Here is a 16,403-nt window from a genome sequence, read left to right as displayed (position 1 = left end):
AATATTGTTGGCCTTAAGTAAAGCCTAATATAGAAGATATTTTAGGAAAACTGTTGTAATCTTATTGCTTATGTTTGTAACATTTCTGCTAGATTTGCATTTATAAGAACAGCCAGGAAACAAAGATTTATGGTAAAAACGTGTGATCTCACGTACGTGGGTTAGTTTATCTTTTTTGAGGTTGTCTCTCACAGCCTGCTGCTAAAAATAAGCAGTCTTCTATTATTTGCTCACCTGTGATTTAGTCAGAAAAGCCAGTGTATTCTAATGAGTTGGGAAGAGGTGAAATTTCCATTCAGAATGGTAATTTTCTGTTAATCATCATTGAAACTGAAGAGCCTCCCAGATTGTTCCTCAACATTTGAATTGGCCTCAGTAAAAATGAAAGAAGACAAAGGAACATTTATATGAAAGTAAAATGTTCTTATTCTTTCTGGTTTTGCTAATAAAACTACCAGATTGGTTTCCTTGTCTTTGTCCTCTGATCTGTTTACATTCCTTTTATTATATTTTGGTGTGGCCCATTAAAAATATTGCCCCATACTAACTAGTATATTGAAAACGGATAGAATTAGATTTCGTAATAAAGTGAACTTAGTTCACTCAAATGTTAAGTCATTTCCTCCACTGAATCCTTGTAGACACAGGCATTTGGATTGTATCTTTACAATATGATATTGGAAAAGATGAGGGAATATTGGTAATTTGAGGTGAAAAAGAAAACTCTTATAATTGAATGTGGATGCTTTGTCTCTTCTTGGAGCAGAGGTTTAAGAAAGAAAAGGAAGAAACTCCACCACTACAAAGCTACCTTGGAGAACACTTAGACAAAAATTTCTCAGAGCATATGCTATTTGGTGAAAATTCACAAATTGCTCTTCATAGCTTTCTGAATTTGTGTCATATCTGCATTTTAAAATTGAATGTGCTGCAGTTCCAACCTGTATGCTTTTGAATGAACCTTAATGATGGGCCATTTCTTATTGCCGTCATCTGTGCCTTTCATTGCTGATTTATGTCAACTTCCTTTAAATGCATTGTGGTATTTAGGCAGTGGATAAGATAGTAATGCCATCGCATGCTGGTTGCTTAATGATGCAATTGCTTGAAAATTTAAAGCCCATAATAGCTTTAGGTCAGGTTCAGAAGTTCATGTTCCATGCCAGACATTTGAAGACTGAATCAGAGCCCGAGCACTGCCAAAATCATGCCACATTTGTCAAGCCTGGCCTTGGGTAAAAGCTGTTGGAAGCCGCCCATTCATCCAAGCCAATCACTGATAATGAAGCTTGAGGGAACATGAAATATCTTTTCTAAAAAGAACAGACAACCTCACCAGTTGGCTGCCTTTTTTTTATTTTTAGTATAATTACCAGGGGCAAACTGTCTTGCAGAATTGCTATCTTATATTAGCTTTGAGTTTGTGTTCTTGAGACCTGATGCAAGGATGTTTTATTAGCTAAGAATATGTGGTTTGAGGTCAGCTGAACATGATTCTTTCAGGTTTTTCTTGTGGGCTGTAATGTGATTGACTATTCTGTGGTGTGGAAGCTTACAGCTAGAAAAGAAACTTCAGGAGAACCACTTTCCTGTTTTCACGCTTATATTTTATCTGACTAATTCGCTTGGCTCCTGCCACAAACATCCATCAGTGAACAGACTTCTGCTACAGGGAAAGTTCTAGAAGAGCTGCCCACCTGGAACACTTCAGTCAAGCCTGAAGCTGGAATTGTAAAGTGTGACTGATTCCAAAATCACCATGCCCCAACCTACTCCTGCTAAATGTTAGATTTTTTTTTTTTTTTGGAAGCTGCATGTTACTTTTCCCCTTTTCTTTTTTTCAAAGGGCTCATAGTATTGGTTCCAGTATCTCAAAAGGATGTTTTGCAGATGAGAGAAAAGTACTTGAAAGAGTCTGAAACGCTGGAAGGACTAGAGATGTTAACTGGTCACTTTCCCTCACTCCTGCCTTTCATATTCCACACTCAGGTCTTTAAAGACTTTGGCTTTGAAGAGAGGAAATGAAATATGGGAGCCTCAAGGCTGATACTTATCCTAGCTTTTTTTTTTTTTTCTCATGAGTGTTCAGAGAAAGGAATTGAATTTGAATTCTCTGAAGCACCATATGATAGGTAGTTCTGATTAAGTTGTGGCTAGATGTCTTTGATGATGTTATTACCATCATCAAAAAAATGTTAACTAATTCCTCATGTATGTAAATCTTTGTAATTCAGAACACACTCACTTTACCTGATTCTCACAACCACTTGGTAATGAAGGCACGGCAGGTACTGGTTTCATCCTCATCCCCCAATGTGTAGATGCGGAAACTGAGGATGAGAGGTAAACCTTTCCCCAAGTTTCACAGATAGTAAGTGGCAAGTCTAAGACAAATCATGCTACGTCCAGTGCTTTTCCTGTATTTTATGCTGCCTCCTGCCTTCTGTCAGCAGATTTTGGTGGCTGTTGGAGGAAAGAAAATTATAAGAAAAATTATAAGAAAAGATCCTTGCTCTTGATGAGTTTAAGGTCTACCTGGAGAGACAGAACTGAGGCATGAAAGAGACAAAGAAGAATGCAAGGTAGGCTGTGCTAAGTGTTCAGTCAGTAGTTTTGAGGTTACTTGTTGCTGGAGCGTCATGTAGGAGAGGTGATTGATCGAAGGCAGGGACAGCAGAGAAAGCTTTCGGGAGGAAGTGAGAGTTGAGTTGGTCTTGAAAGGAGAGTAGGTCTTAGATAAAAGAGAGCAGAGCAGCTTGAGCAACTGTATCACAGAAGCAGATGCATATGACAGTGCGTAGGAGGCTGAGCAAGCAATTGTGCTGGACCCACATATTACATCAGGGAGACATTGCAGGCAAGGCTGCAGAAACAGCAAAAGGACCAGGATGTGAAAATCTTGAATGCCTGAATTTGGATTTAATCCATTAAATAAGGAGAAGATATCCAGGGCTTCAGAGCAGTAGCTTCATGTGTATAATCGATTAGAGACTGGAGATCACTGATGGGGGAGTAGTATATCAGTGCAGTTCATAAAGGTGGTAGAATTAAAATAAAGGAATGAATGACCAGGTCACACAAAGGAAAAAGGATCAGGATTTTCAGGGGAAAGAGGAGAAATAGAGTGATCATAAAATGTATTGTCCAACCTAGGACATTTTCCAAGACAAATGCTACACTGGTCAGGACAGTGGGAAAACAGGCACAAACTGGGACTTTCCTAGGCAAATTGAACATATGATCATACTGGTCAACAATGATGCTGGGGTTTTGAGACTGGGGCATTTGTGGTCATTGATAGAAGGAAAATCAGCAAGGCCAGTGATCTTGGATTTTAAGCTTCAAGATGACTGCAGTAAGTCAGGAGTAGATTTCCAGTGCAAAGTTAGAAATGCACAAAACTTGTCTGTATAACCCTTTGTTTCACCTTTCACTCCTCTTTTAAGCCCCCAACATTAAAAAAAAAAAAAGCACTTTCTTTTGAAGGAAGCAAACAAAGTAAGGAATGGCAGCCACATCCTAGTACTGTCAACATGTTGCATTGTAATTCTCCATTTTGAAACGTGAGCCTGGATGTACTGTCAGGAACTCCTCATCTTTGTGAGACTATGGCTTGCAAAAGCAAATCCTTGCATGTTTTCCCACATCCGAGGGGATCATTTGTCTCTGAAGTGGATTCAGACTACTTTGCGTTTCAAAACAGAATTGAACGTCTGTCAACCTGTTAAAAATTGAGATTTTCAGAAGGAAGAAGTGCGAACTAGAAGGCATGAGTGTGGGAACCCCTATAATCTATGATTTCATTATAGATCAAAAAGAATTTGTTCATTAATTATCAGTTAGCTTGGGACTTTTCAGAGAGGCAATTAAACCAAAATCTACTGAGCCAGGGTAATCATAAAACATAATTTTTATAATTAAATATGTCATTTAGGCTTTTATTTGACATTTTAGGTGATTTATGTGGCACTTTCCAGGCATTAGAAAAAGCTTGATCAATGCCGTGTATAAGATCTTCCTAGCATTACCCCCAAATAGATGAGTAACTTGTCATATGAGGTTAGAACAGGGTAGGCAGTTTCAAGCTCACAAAATGATCTGGAATCAGACCTGGATTTGCTAATGGGGGGAAGAGAAGAATCTTTTCCTCTTCCATCCTAGGTTCACAGCTGAGGCCCCTATAACAAGAGATAGTTTAATGAGAGAAAAGCATGCAAATTTACTTAATACAAGTTGTTGTTGTTGTTTGTTTGAGATAAGGTCTGTCTGTTGCCCAGGTTCTAGTGCAGTGGTATGATCACAGCTCACTGCAGCCTCGACCTCTTAGGCTCAAGTGATCCTCCCAGCTCAGCCTCTCAAGTAACTGGGCATGCACAGCCATGCACCACCACACCTGGCTAATTTTTTAAATTTTTCATAAAGGTGAGGTCTCATTATGTTGCTCAGGCTGGTCTCGAACTCCTGGGCTCAAGTGATCCTCAGCCTCAGCCTCCCAAAGTGCTGGGATTACAGATGTGAGCCACCACATCTGGCCTTTAATCTAAATGACACAGGAGTCTTCATAAGGAAATGAAGACCTAAAAAAATAGTTAAACTTCTGTGTTTCTATGCTAAGTCTGTTGAAGAGTGAACAGTCATGGAGACGTATGATTGGATAAAGGTCTGATCTAATGGTAATAAGTGGGGGGAACTTAGCAAGGCCTGTTTGTTCAGGTTCTTCTTGGCATCTGTGTCTTAGGCACTTTTCTTTAGGTAAAGAGAGGGTACCTCTCCCATGAGGGTCTTATGACCTGCTTCATGGGAGAAGGGGAGGTGGGTGAAATGAGAGTGACCATCCCATTTCTGCTTTTTCTCAAATGACAAGGTGCCATATTTTGGGGTAGCATGTTTTGAACTCCATCACCAAGGAGAGGGTATGTCCTCTTGCCTTGTAAGGAACCTGGTCCACCAGGAAGCCTGAGGCAGTCATCACCCAGAGCAGGAATTTGAAACACTGACTCTCCATGGTCAGTTTTGTATTCTCCAGTCCTACTTTGTAGACATTATGTACAAGAGAATTTATCAGATTCAAAATAACTTGGTGGGAATATTCAGAAATATCTCACTTAAAAAAAAATCCCCACGTTGGCTGTTTAAAAACCAACAAAAATAGTAACATTTTAAGTCTTGCTTGGAGTTCAAAATGAGCTTGGAAACCATCTGCCCTGACTTAATCTAGAGCGTTCACTGAGTGTAGACAACTCTACATAGGTGCTGTGAGGGATCCAGAGATTTCTAAGCCCAGCTGGAAGTCCTACACTCTGTATCTATGAACCAAGTGGAGAACAGGTGTTTATTACACCAACAGCCACTGTCTCTACTGCAGAGCAAGTTCAGAGAAGGCTGGGATTGGCCAGGCATGACCTGGGGTGGAGAGGTATCCTGGGAGCCTTGTAACTGAAGATGAACAGAGAGACAGTGAGAACTCAAGCAGAGATCAGAGGCGCAATAGCCAATTGGGACTGAAGTTCTGGAGCATCAAAGAGCGCCCCCTCTGGGAGAAAGGATGTGCTTCAAAGGCCTGGGCAAGGTGGAGGATTCTTGCAGGATGCTGGCAATTTGTCTAGCATTAATAGAAGCCGTAGTGTAGTATTAAAAATTATGACTTAAATACACACAAAATTTAGTTACTTTTCATTTGTATTTTGGTATTTAGTATTAGTACAACTTGTACTCTGATATTCAACCTAATTTTGTATCCTTGGGGACAATTAACACATGGTTTAAATAGGAAGACATTGTTGGGAACTAGGACCTAGGACCACAAATATATTTTCTATGCTTTTTACATTCTCATCACGAGTGTGCCACCTTCAGATATAATTTTCATATTTTTAGTAGACATATGTAAAAAATGTAATTAAGACTGATTACCCCAGCAGCTGTGCTTTCTTTAAAAAAGCAAAAAGGTATATCTGGCACCTACCAACTCTTAGTTTATCACATATCAGTTATTTTTTAAAATTAAATATTTTCTTCTAAGGTGAAAAATGTGAAGAAAAGTCTTTATAAAGGTGATGTTTTGCTGGATGTGGTGGCTTATGCCTGTAATCCCAGCAATTCAGGAGGCTGAAGCAGGAGCATCTCTTGAAACCAGGAGTTCAAGACCAGCCTGGGTGACATAATCAGACCCCTGTCTCTTAAAGGAAAAAAAAAAAAAAAAGCCAATTAGCCAGGCATGATGGTGCACTGTAGTCCTAGCTACTCAGGAGGCCAAGGCAGAAAGATTGCCTGACTCTAGGAGTTCGAGGCTACAGTGAGCTATAAGCAAGACCCTGCCTCTTAAAAAATAATAATGGTCAGGTGCAGTAATGGGATTATACACCTGTAATCCCAGCACTTTGGGAAGCCGAGGCGGGTGGATCACCTGAGGTCAGGAGTTCAAGATCAGCCTGGCCAACATGGTGAAACCCCATCTCTACTAAAAATACAAAAATTAGCCGGGTGTGGTGGTGAGCACCTGTAATCCCAGATACTCAGGAGGCTGAGGCAGGAGAATCACTTGAACCCAGGAGGCGGATGTTGCAGTGAGTCGACATCGTGTCACTGCACTCCAGCCTGGGCAACAAGAGCAAAACTCTGTCTCGAAAAAATAATAATAAGAAGAAGAAAGTCATGTTTTGAAATTCCAAAGTATAGATATTTTGCAAAAAGCAAATTTACAAGCTGTTCCACTACACATGTATCTTAAGGGAGTCTGTCAAAGGGGAGATAGTCAATTCAGAAAAGCAGAGCATGCGGTAGGTGTTGGAGAGAGTGAATATGTTATGGATTCTGTACCCCTATTATCTTCTAAATCATGGGCTAATTTGTAAAGTTTCTATTTATTGTTTGCTGAAAATTTACATTTACATTGCTGAAGATGGCCTGCAGGTGAGAGAGCACCTGCAGGCAATTTCCAATGGTTGTTTAGATCCTGGAGTTTGCGTCCTTCATGGCGTGTGCTGATGATACCCTGTGAGTTGTTTTGGGCGGCCGCAAAGATTCAGGTCTCCTGAAACGTTCTGGGCTGCAGCCATTTCCTTACTGCAAATGAATAATGAATGAGCTGTGGGTTAAACTAATAGTTCAAGATAAAATCAGAAGCTCATTGCAACATGGGCAACTTTCCTTCGTCATCTCCATGGAAACTGCTATTTGTCAAGACACACTAGTATTTCAGAAGACAGTGAGGAGTCACCAGTTTTTTAACTTCAGGTCAGCTGTTGAAAAATAGATTTAAGAAGCACAGATTGAGACAGAATGAATACAGAGAAAGCCATCTGCATGCAGTGGGGGAGCTCTGTTAGACCATTCTTTGGGACTTTTAGAAAAATAGATCATAAATGGTATAATAAATATTAAGCTGTAAGATTTGAATGGAAAATTGAGTTAACACTTTTTCCCTCCCCCAACACTATGACTTGGCATCTGGCTGGGCCACATAGTGAGTGAGTGCTCAGACCTCATCCAGGTGGCCTTCTTGCATCACAGGGGGAGGGCTGGCACCGGTGTTGCAAGAGGTGAGAGCAGCTGGCTGCACAGCACTGGTACAAAACGGGCACCCTCACCTCGCACATGCATCAGGCCGCGGTGTCGCCAACAGCCTGGGCGTGGGGTCCCCGCTGCAGGGGCTGATGTCAGCATGCTGAGGTCACATTGGGGATCAGATCTCATGTTGCAGCCTGGCAGTGGGTGCGGCGGGGGCCGACGCATCCCAGCGCTGAGAACAGTGGCACTCCAGCCACTCAGGGTTGGAGGGAGGAAACAGTGGGGCTGGGTCTTCCAGCCCCATCAGGACTGGGAGGTGCTGGGGAAAGAGGGAAATAAGGAACAAGAAATGTCCAAAAGTGGGGCTCAGAAGTAGATCTAGCCAGGTGGCTGGGGCTGCCTTCACCAGCACAGCACGCAGGAGGCTGGCCTGAGACTGGGGACCCCTGAGGATGGGCTGCTCCTTGTCCCTAGTGAGACAGATGTGGGGAGCAGGGAGGAGATTGTGCCATAAAAGCTCTAGAAATGTTCAGGCATCAATAATATGTTAAGAAAGCACCTCTTCACACTGTAAGCTTCTGGCCTCTGGAGCACATAGTATTGGGTTACCTCAAGTCCGAGGGAAAAGAAGCAAGTGTTACAGACTGGGACTCTATCTTGGCTCCCCCACTGTGGCCGCGTTACTCAGGGCGGGTTAGGTGTCTTCTCTCAGCCTCCTCCCATTTCATCCGTGAAAAGACCAGGTAGTGGTGCCCCTCAGGGTCATTTTATTTTATTTTTTTTATTGTTGTGGTACATAATGGTGTATGTATTTTATGGGATAGGTGAGATATTTTGATACAGGCATGCAATAAGTAATAATCACATCACAGAAAATGGGGTATCCCTCCCCTCAAGCACCCCCTAAGGGTCGTTTTAAATATGAAATGAGACAATACGTGTGAAAAGATGAAGCCCAGTGGCTGGCGCCTCACTGCTCTCAGTAGAAAATTAAGGCATTTCTCTTCACTAAGGCTGTCTACAGAAGTCTCCCCCTTGCCTCTAAAAAGGGGGTCAGGGTTCAAGCCTTCTCCTGCCTCAGCCTCCTAAGTAGCTGGGATTACAGGTGTGCACCACTATGCCTGGCAAATTTTTGTATTTTTTTTAGTAGAGACAGGGTTTCACCATGTTGGTCAGGCTGGCCTTCAACTCCTGAGCTCAAGTGATCCACCCATCTCAGCCTCCCAAAGTGCTGGGATTACAGGCGTGAGCCACCGCTCCCAGCCGCCACTGATACTTAATTCTCAGCCAGTCTCAGTCTCTATTGTCCACCCCTTTCTCTGCTCAATTAATGAGAGAACAGGAAGGGGAGGTAATTTAAATACTTTTCTACACAAAATATTATTAGGAAAATGGAGCTTTTACAAGAGCATTAAACCTTTTCAGTGCAAACAGAAATGCCTTTACATGATCGTCCAGGCTTTCTTGCAGTGAGGAAACTTTCCTCCTCACCATCTTTCCCCTTTCTCTTTAGGGCTGATCTCCCTCCCTGACCACATGTTCTGTGCTTCATACCCATTGCGCGCATCATCACCCCTGAAAAACTAAGGTGTAGCTCTACTTACAAATGCAGCCTCTGCTTAGGGAAGGATCTTGGATCTGCCTGAGAAGACCATGAGGGTCCCATCAGTTTCTGTGTTTCTCCAACCCCTCCCCTGCCCTACCTCCAAAGCCATTCACTCAGAGATGCAGAAAGCTGCGAGTGAGCGACAAAAGAAACCCTCTCAAGGAGCTAATGTCAGGCAGATTGTGAAAAGTGCTGTGGTTTTTGTGTGTGAAAGAGGTGATCACTTCTATACCCCTCAGTATGTGCTTTTGATTTCCCACATTATTTAGCTGGCTACTCAGATCTGATTAAAAGCATGTGTACGAGCCAAGGTATAGCAATGAAAGTCAAACACAGACCCATGAGAAGATTTAATGGAAACAAACTATACTGGGAGTTCGCTTGCTAGGGTGGGTTTGAGACCAGATCCTCAACCTCCTGGTTCTCCCCTGCCTCCTCTGTGAACCAGGGATAATGCTGCTTCATTGGCCTTTTTTTTTTTTTTTTTTTTTTTTTTTTGAGACGGAGTCCACTCTGTCACCCAGACTGGAGTGCAATGGCATGATCTCGGCTTACTGCAACCTCCGACTCCCAGGTTCAAACGATTCTCCTGCCTCAGCCACCTGAGTAGCTGGGATTACAGGCATGCACCACCACATCCAGCTACTTTTTGTATTTTTAGTAGAGACGGGATTTTACCATGTTGGTCAGGCTGGTCTCGAACTCCTGACCTTGTGATCTGCCTGCCTCGACCTCCCAAAGTGCTGGGATTACAGGCATGACCCACCGTGCCCGACCTTCATCGGCCTTTTAAGTGAGGACTGCACCTCACGAACTCTTAATATCTTCTCCACTCTCTGATTACGATTGTTTGGACTTTTTACTTTTCCTTAAATCTGGGGATCAATACTGCTGTGCTGAGGATGTGGCTTTCTTCCTGATAAAATATCTATTTCTTCCATTGGAATACACTTTAATTTGGGAACAAGCATCAATCTTAGAATAGATCCTTCATGTTCTGCTAGTTGGCATTACTACCTGGCCAAAGGGGAGGAAGATTCTGGAAAGCAAAGGAAAAAGGGCCTGGAGGGGCAGCCCATCCCCAGCCAGTCTCTCCTGAGCCTGTAGGCTGCCAAATCCCTCAGTCCCAAGGGCCAAGGCTGCCAAGGACCTCTCCTTTCAGTAACATCAAAAATGAGATGACATCAGGTTACCCTTTACTAGTGCCTAGAGAGTTGTCAATTACCTTTCAGTCACTTACCCTTTGCTAATTGCAAAATAAACAGACTCCGCAGCCTGCCTTCAATGACAGCCTCGTCTCCTGTCCTAATATTTATATCTTAGCCTCTTATTAATTGCATTTCATTGATCATTTCCTGAATACTCTTCTTCCCTTTTGCATTTTCAGTACTCCAATTTTTTTTTTTTGTTTGTTTGTTTTTCAAAGAGCAGGCATCAGAGTCAGATTTTCTAAAGGGCCTGCCAGTGCCACACCTGCTATTGTTGATCCTCATACCCTGTAGATCCCTAAGGATGGCTAATCCCCTTCACAGGAGGCATTGTTTCCAGGGAGAATGGGCTTATTGGCTTTCCACACCTCTGTTAGAAACAACAGTGGAGAAGGATGATGTGGAAGGGAAGTGAGCTGGTAGCAGGTCTAAATGCATCCATAATCAGAAAGATTTCCAGATTTCCCTAATTGCTGTTTTTATTCACAGAACTTCTATTTTAAGCGCACACACTCACATGTGGATTGACAGGCACCAGCCACTGTAATGGCTGTGTCTGTCTGTAGCGACTGCAAACGCTTGTTTCCATGGTGACGGGAGGCACCACAGAGACACAATTATGGTGCTGCTGGGACCAGGGCACTGCCACACCAGGAGGCCTCTCAAGTGTGTGTGTGTGTGTGTGTGTGTGTGCATGCGCACGCTGGGGGCACAGGGTTGCTGTCGAGTGCGGAGTGTGAAAAAGCCAAGCGGGGAAGGGGTTGGGGAGATAGGCAGAGGGAACATTCGCTGGTACAGAAGCCTGGGGGGTAGTGAAGAGAGGTGATACCTGGATCAGGGGAATGATAGAAAATTGAAGAAGAAGGGGAATACAGATGGGAAAAGGAAAAGGGCAAACAAAAATGGAAAATTTCTCCTCTCTGCAGAATATTATTGCCCCTCCCTTTGAAAGGTTTATTGTGGCAGAATTATCTCACATAAATTTGCCAAGTAGAGAAATAGACTTTAGCGAGCAGAGGCAGACGGTTCAGGCAGTTTGGGTGTCAGAGTTTTTCTGTAACTCCAAAGTTGATAGTTTGCTGCCTCCAGCTCAACAGCCCCATCCTGGAGAGGAGATGAATTGCTCCCTCACCCACTGCAGGGTTTTCTGGGCATGTGAAGCCATTACTTCTCCTCTGGGCTCTGCCCAAGGTGGAGGCACCCAGTGTTGTCTCCAAACAATGTCATTTGGTCTGAGTGAATTACATGTCAGGCAAATGAGGCCTCGTCAAGTTCTCACAGAGGGCACAACTGTTTTTCAGAGACCTTGAAAGGATGCCCAGAGGATTCCGTTTTATTAATGATGACTTGGTGAACATTGACTGAAGTCCTATCCTCGGCTGACAGACAGACACCCACCCTAGGGGTCAAGCAAACAAAAGGGAACTTTCTGGGGTTATCCTTTTAGGCTCTGGTTGTAAAAATCAGTGGTTCTCTGGTTCCAGATTGAGCACTTATTGACAACCTACTGTGTGTCAGCAGTTTTCACATAGGCTCACCTGCACCACTGTAAGTGGTGTTGGCCCCATTTCATAGTGGAAGGCCTGGAGGCTCAAAGTGGTTGAGCAGTTTCCCCATAGTCAAGGAGGTCAAGTCAAACCCAGATTTCCAGATTGCAATTCAGTGCAGTCTCCTGTTCAAGGAGGTCAAGTCAAACCCAGATTTCCAGATTGCAATTCAGTGCAGTCTCCTGTTCAAGGAGGTCAAGTCAAACCCAGATTTCCAGATTGCAGTTCGTTGCTGTCTCCTGTATTCACTAGTTCTCTTTTATGCCAAGAAAAAACTTTTTTAAAAAATTTCTTTGGGTACACAGTAGGTGTATGCATTTATGGGTACATAAGATGTTTTGATACAGGCATGCAATGTGAAGTGATTACATCATGGAGAATGGGGTATCCATTCCCTTAAGCATTATCCTTTGTGTTGCAAACAATCCAACTATATTCTTTTAGTTATTTTAAAATGTATAATTAGGTTATTATTGACTATAGTCACCCTGTGGTGCTATCAAATAGTAGGTCTTATTCATTCTAGAAAAAACTTTCTGATGGAAGGATTCAGGCCCAGGAGTCCCCACTGAGCCTGATTCCACTCATGCACTTGGTGATGGAAGGACCAGGACATGGTGAGCAGGCCCAGCAGGTGTTTGGCCAAACTTGGCTCCTAGACAGAAGTGCTTTCCAGAGATTAACATGCTCCACCAGCCTTACAAAAGAAAGCCTTATGGAAGGGATTTCCTGTCCATCTCTTGAATTTTCTGAAGAGTTCTGGGTTGGCTCATGCCTGTAATCCCAGCGCTTTAGGAGGCTGAGGCAGGAGGATCACTTGAGGCCAGGGATTTGAGACTGCAGTGAGCTGTTATGGTACCACTGCACTCCAGCATGGGCAAAACAGTGAGACCCTGTCTCTAAAATAATAATAATAATAATAAAGAGTTCTGGACCCTACAGGAAGCTTGATAGGTAAAGCAGACCAAAAAGCAATTCATGGTCGGGTGCAGTGGCTCACACCTGTAATCCCAACACTTTGAGAGGCCATGGCGGGAGGATCACTTGAGCTCAGGAGTTGGAGACCAACCTGACCAACATGGTGAAACCCTGTCTCTACTAAAAATTCAAAAAAATTAGCCAGGTGTGGTGGCGGGTGCTTGTAATCCTAGCTACTTGGGAAGCTGAGGCAGGAGAATGGCTTGAACCCAGGAGGTAGAGGTTGCAATAAACCAAGACCATGCCACTGCACTCCAACCTGGGTGACAGAATGAGACCCTTTCAAACAAACAAACAAAAAAAAAGCAATTCACACTAATCAATGGACTTTGAACCTTCCTAATCATTTGTAACGTTCCGCAACAGACGTAACTTAACAATCAGGTTTTAGATTTTCGAAAAATTGTATTCCAAATCCAAAGATTGACAATGAAGCATCGCTTGTGTTATTTATAGTAATTTTTGTTTTGCTTTGTTAATGTTCACATTGTGATCTCACTGTGGGCCCACTCTGGTTTTAGAAATTAATGGAACTTTAGGTATCCTGACTTCACTAAGTTGAAATTCACTTGAATCGGTTGCCCTTTCTCCCTCCCTCCCTCCCTCCCTCCCTCCCTCCCTCCCTCCCTCCCCCTCTCTCTCTCTCTCTCTCTCTCCCTTTCTTTTCTTTTCTTTTCTTTCTCTTGAAATAGGGTCTCACTCTGTTGTCCAGGCTGGAGTACAGTGGTGTGAATCACTGTTCAGTGCAGCCACGAACTCCTGGGCTCAAGTGATCCTCCTGCCTCGGCCTCCCAAAGCAAGGGGATTACAGGCACGTGCCACCAGACCCAGCCTTGTTCCCTCTTTCCTTTGTGAAAAGTGCCTATCCCAGGGGGCTGTGACCTCACCTTAACTCTCTTCCTTTCTGGCCCAGGATCCCTCCGGGTGGGTGTGGTGAAATCTTAAATGAACAATGCATTTCTATAACCATCAGGTACTACTGCAATATTTTATAATTAGAGCTCTCAAAAATTCATAGAATTTCAGCCTTGGGAAGAGTTTAAAAAAATACATGAATGAAGGGTTCTACCTCACACCCACTAGGATGGCTAGCATAAAATAATCAGAAAATAACAAGTGTTGGCAAGGATGTGGAGAATTTGGAACTCTTGTACACTGTTGATGGGAATGCAAAATGGTGCAGCCACCATGGAAAAGAGGGTGACAGTTCCTTAAAAAATTAAAAATGGAATTACCTTGATCTAGCAATTCCATTTCTGGGTTTATACCCAAAAGAATTGAAAGCAGGGTCTCAAAGACATATTTGTATACCCATGTTCATGGCAGCATTATTCACAACAGCCAAAAGGTGGGAGCAACCCAAGTGTCCATCAACAGAAGAATGGATAAATAAAATGTGATATATAATACAATGGATGATTATTCAGCTTTAAAAAGGATGGAGCACAGAGGATTCTTAAGGGCAGTGGAGCTACTCTGTATGATACTCTAATGGTGGATCTGTGTCATAAATTTGTTCATAGAATGTGCAACACAGAGTGAACCCTAAGGTAAACCATGGATTCTGGGTGGTAGTGATGTGGCAATGTAGGTTCATCAGTTGTAGCAAATGTCCCCTCTGGTGCTGGATGTTGATAGTGGGGGAGGCTGTCTGTGTGTGGGGACAGGAGGTCTATGGGAAATCTCCATCCCTTCCTCTCAGTTTTGCTATGATACTAAAATTTCCCTTAAAAAAAGTATATATTTTTTAAAAGCAAGGAAATTCTGACACATGCTACAAAATGAATGAACTTTGAGGCCATTATGCTAAGCGATATAAGCCTGTCACAAAAAAAAAACAAAACACTTTTTATTCCACTTCTATGAGATACCTAGAGCAGGGGTCCCCAACCCCTGGTTAAGAACTGGGCTGCACTCTTTTGATTAATGAAACCTTATAGCATTATGAAATGGCTCTCTTTGTTCCTAGCAATATTCTTTTCTCTGAAATCTACTTTGTCTAATATTATTATTACCTCTTTGGCTCTCTTTTGATTAGTGTTGGAATGGGATTTTTTTCCCCCATCCATTTACTTTTAACCTATTTGTGTCTTCATATTCAGGACTAGGGCTGGGCATGGTGGCTCACACCTGTAATCCCAGCACCTTGGGAGGCCATTGTGGGCAGATCACTTGAGCCCAGGAGTTTAAGACCAGTCTGGGTAACATGGCAAGACCCCTTCTTTAAACAAAAAATTACATTAAAAAAAAAGAAGAAGTACTGGGCTGCACAGCAAGAGGTGACAGCAGGATGAGTGAGCATTACTGCTTGAGCATGCCAGGGATTTAGGTTGCATACTCCTTAGGAGAATCTAATGCCTGATGATCTGAGGTGGAATGATTTCATCACGAAACCATCCCCGCACCCAGCCCACGTCCATGGAAAAATTTTCTTCCAAGAAACTGGTCTCTGGTGCCAAAAAGGCTGGGGACCATGATCTATAGTATTCAAAATTAAAAAGACAGAAAGTAGAAGGGGCTACTTCTACTTTTGCTACCATGATCTACAGTATTCAAAATTACAAAGACAGAAAGTAGTTGCCGGGGGGAACACGGAGTCCGTGTTTTGTTTTGTTTGACACAGGGTCTCCCTCTGTCAGGCTGGAGTGCAGTGGTCGATCTCTGCTCACTGCAACCCCCACCTCCTGGGCTCAAGCCATCCTCCCACCTCAGCCTCCCGAGTGGCTGGGACCACAGGTGCGTACTACTGCACCTGGCTAATTTCTGTATTTTTAGCAGAGATGGGTTCCACCATGTTGGCCAGGCTGGTCTCAAACTCCTGAGCTCAAGCAATCCTCCCGCCTTGGCCTCCCACATTGCTAGGATTACAGACGTAAGCCACCACACTCAGCCAGGGAGTTCATTTTTAATGGATACAGAGTTTCATTTTCACAAGATGAAAAGAATTTTGAAGACCAGCGGTGGTGATGGTTGGACAACAATGTGAATGTTCGTAGCACTGCTAAACTGTACACTCAAAAATGGTTTAAGGCAGGAGATCTTTATGTTATGTGTATTTTACTATGGAAACAAAAAATAAAAGTGTATCTCCTATTGGTCCCAAGTAGATGGGATTTTGTTATATTTTCAACAGCACACTTTGAGTTGTAATATGTTTTTCCCAGAATCACAGAAGAGCCAGTGTGCTCAGGTCCAGCTGACTTAGTGCCAGAGCTGCTCAGAGAATCCTTCATGTCCAGTTGAAGAGGAACCAGGCCGCCTGCATGTGGTTGCCTTTGCGGAGACAAAGGTCATTTTCAGCCCTTATTGCAGGGTACCACATTGCAAAAACTCACTGCTCTCCAGCTGTTAAGATTTGAATAAGGTAAATGACCGTGATTGGCCTTTCGCCACTGGGATTTGTTCGCAGTGAATCATCAGCACTTGACTGAGGAGCCAGCTCAGCATCTTTTTAAAAGTAAAAAAGAAAATTCAGTTCCTTCCCTTTTAGCCAAAAATGCTATGAGTCAGTACTTTGGCACTGGGAGTGGAAAGCAGTGAGAAACGAGTGGGCCT

At 43.2% G+C, this 16,403-nt stretch overlaps 1 protein-coding gene across 6 annotated transcripts in view, besides 1 other annotated feature; it reads left to right on the top strand.

Annotated features, from left to right (window-relative positions):
- The window catches only part of DCLK1 (doublecortin like kinase 1), a 363,288-nt gene that overhangs the window by 136,026 nt on the left and 210,859 nt on the right, over positions 1-16,403 (top strand). The window lies entirely within an intron of this gene.
- Positions 1,931-2,432: an enhancer, noted in NCBI's record as "NANOG hESC enhancer chr13:36567619-36568120 (GRCh37/hg19 assembly coordinates)". NCBI's record gives its function as "activates a minimal SCP1, AML or CMV promoter by ChIP-STARR-seq in primed H9 embryonic stem cells {active_cell/tissue: H9 hESC(primed)}" and the evidence as "EXISTENCE:reporter gene assay evidence [ECO:0000049][PMID:30033119]".

Source organism: Homo sapiens, chromosome 13 (genome assembly GCF_000001405.40).
Source record: "Homo sapiens chromosome 13, GRCh38.p14 Primary Assembly".
NCBI lineage: Eukaryota > Metazoa > Chordata > Mammalia > Primates > Hominidae > Homo > Homo sapiens.
This window is presented reverse-complemented; position numbering and strand designations above follow the sequence as displayed.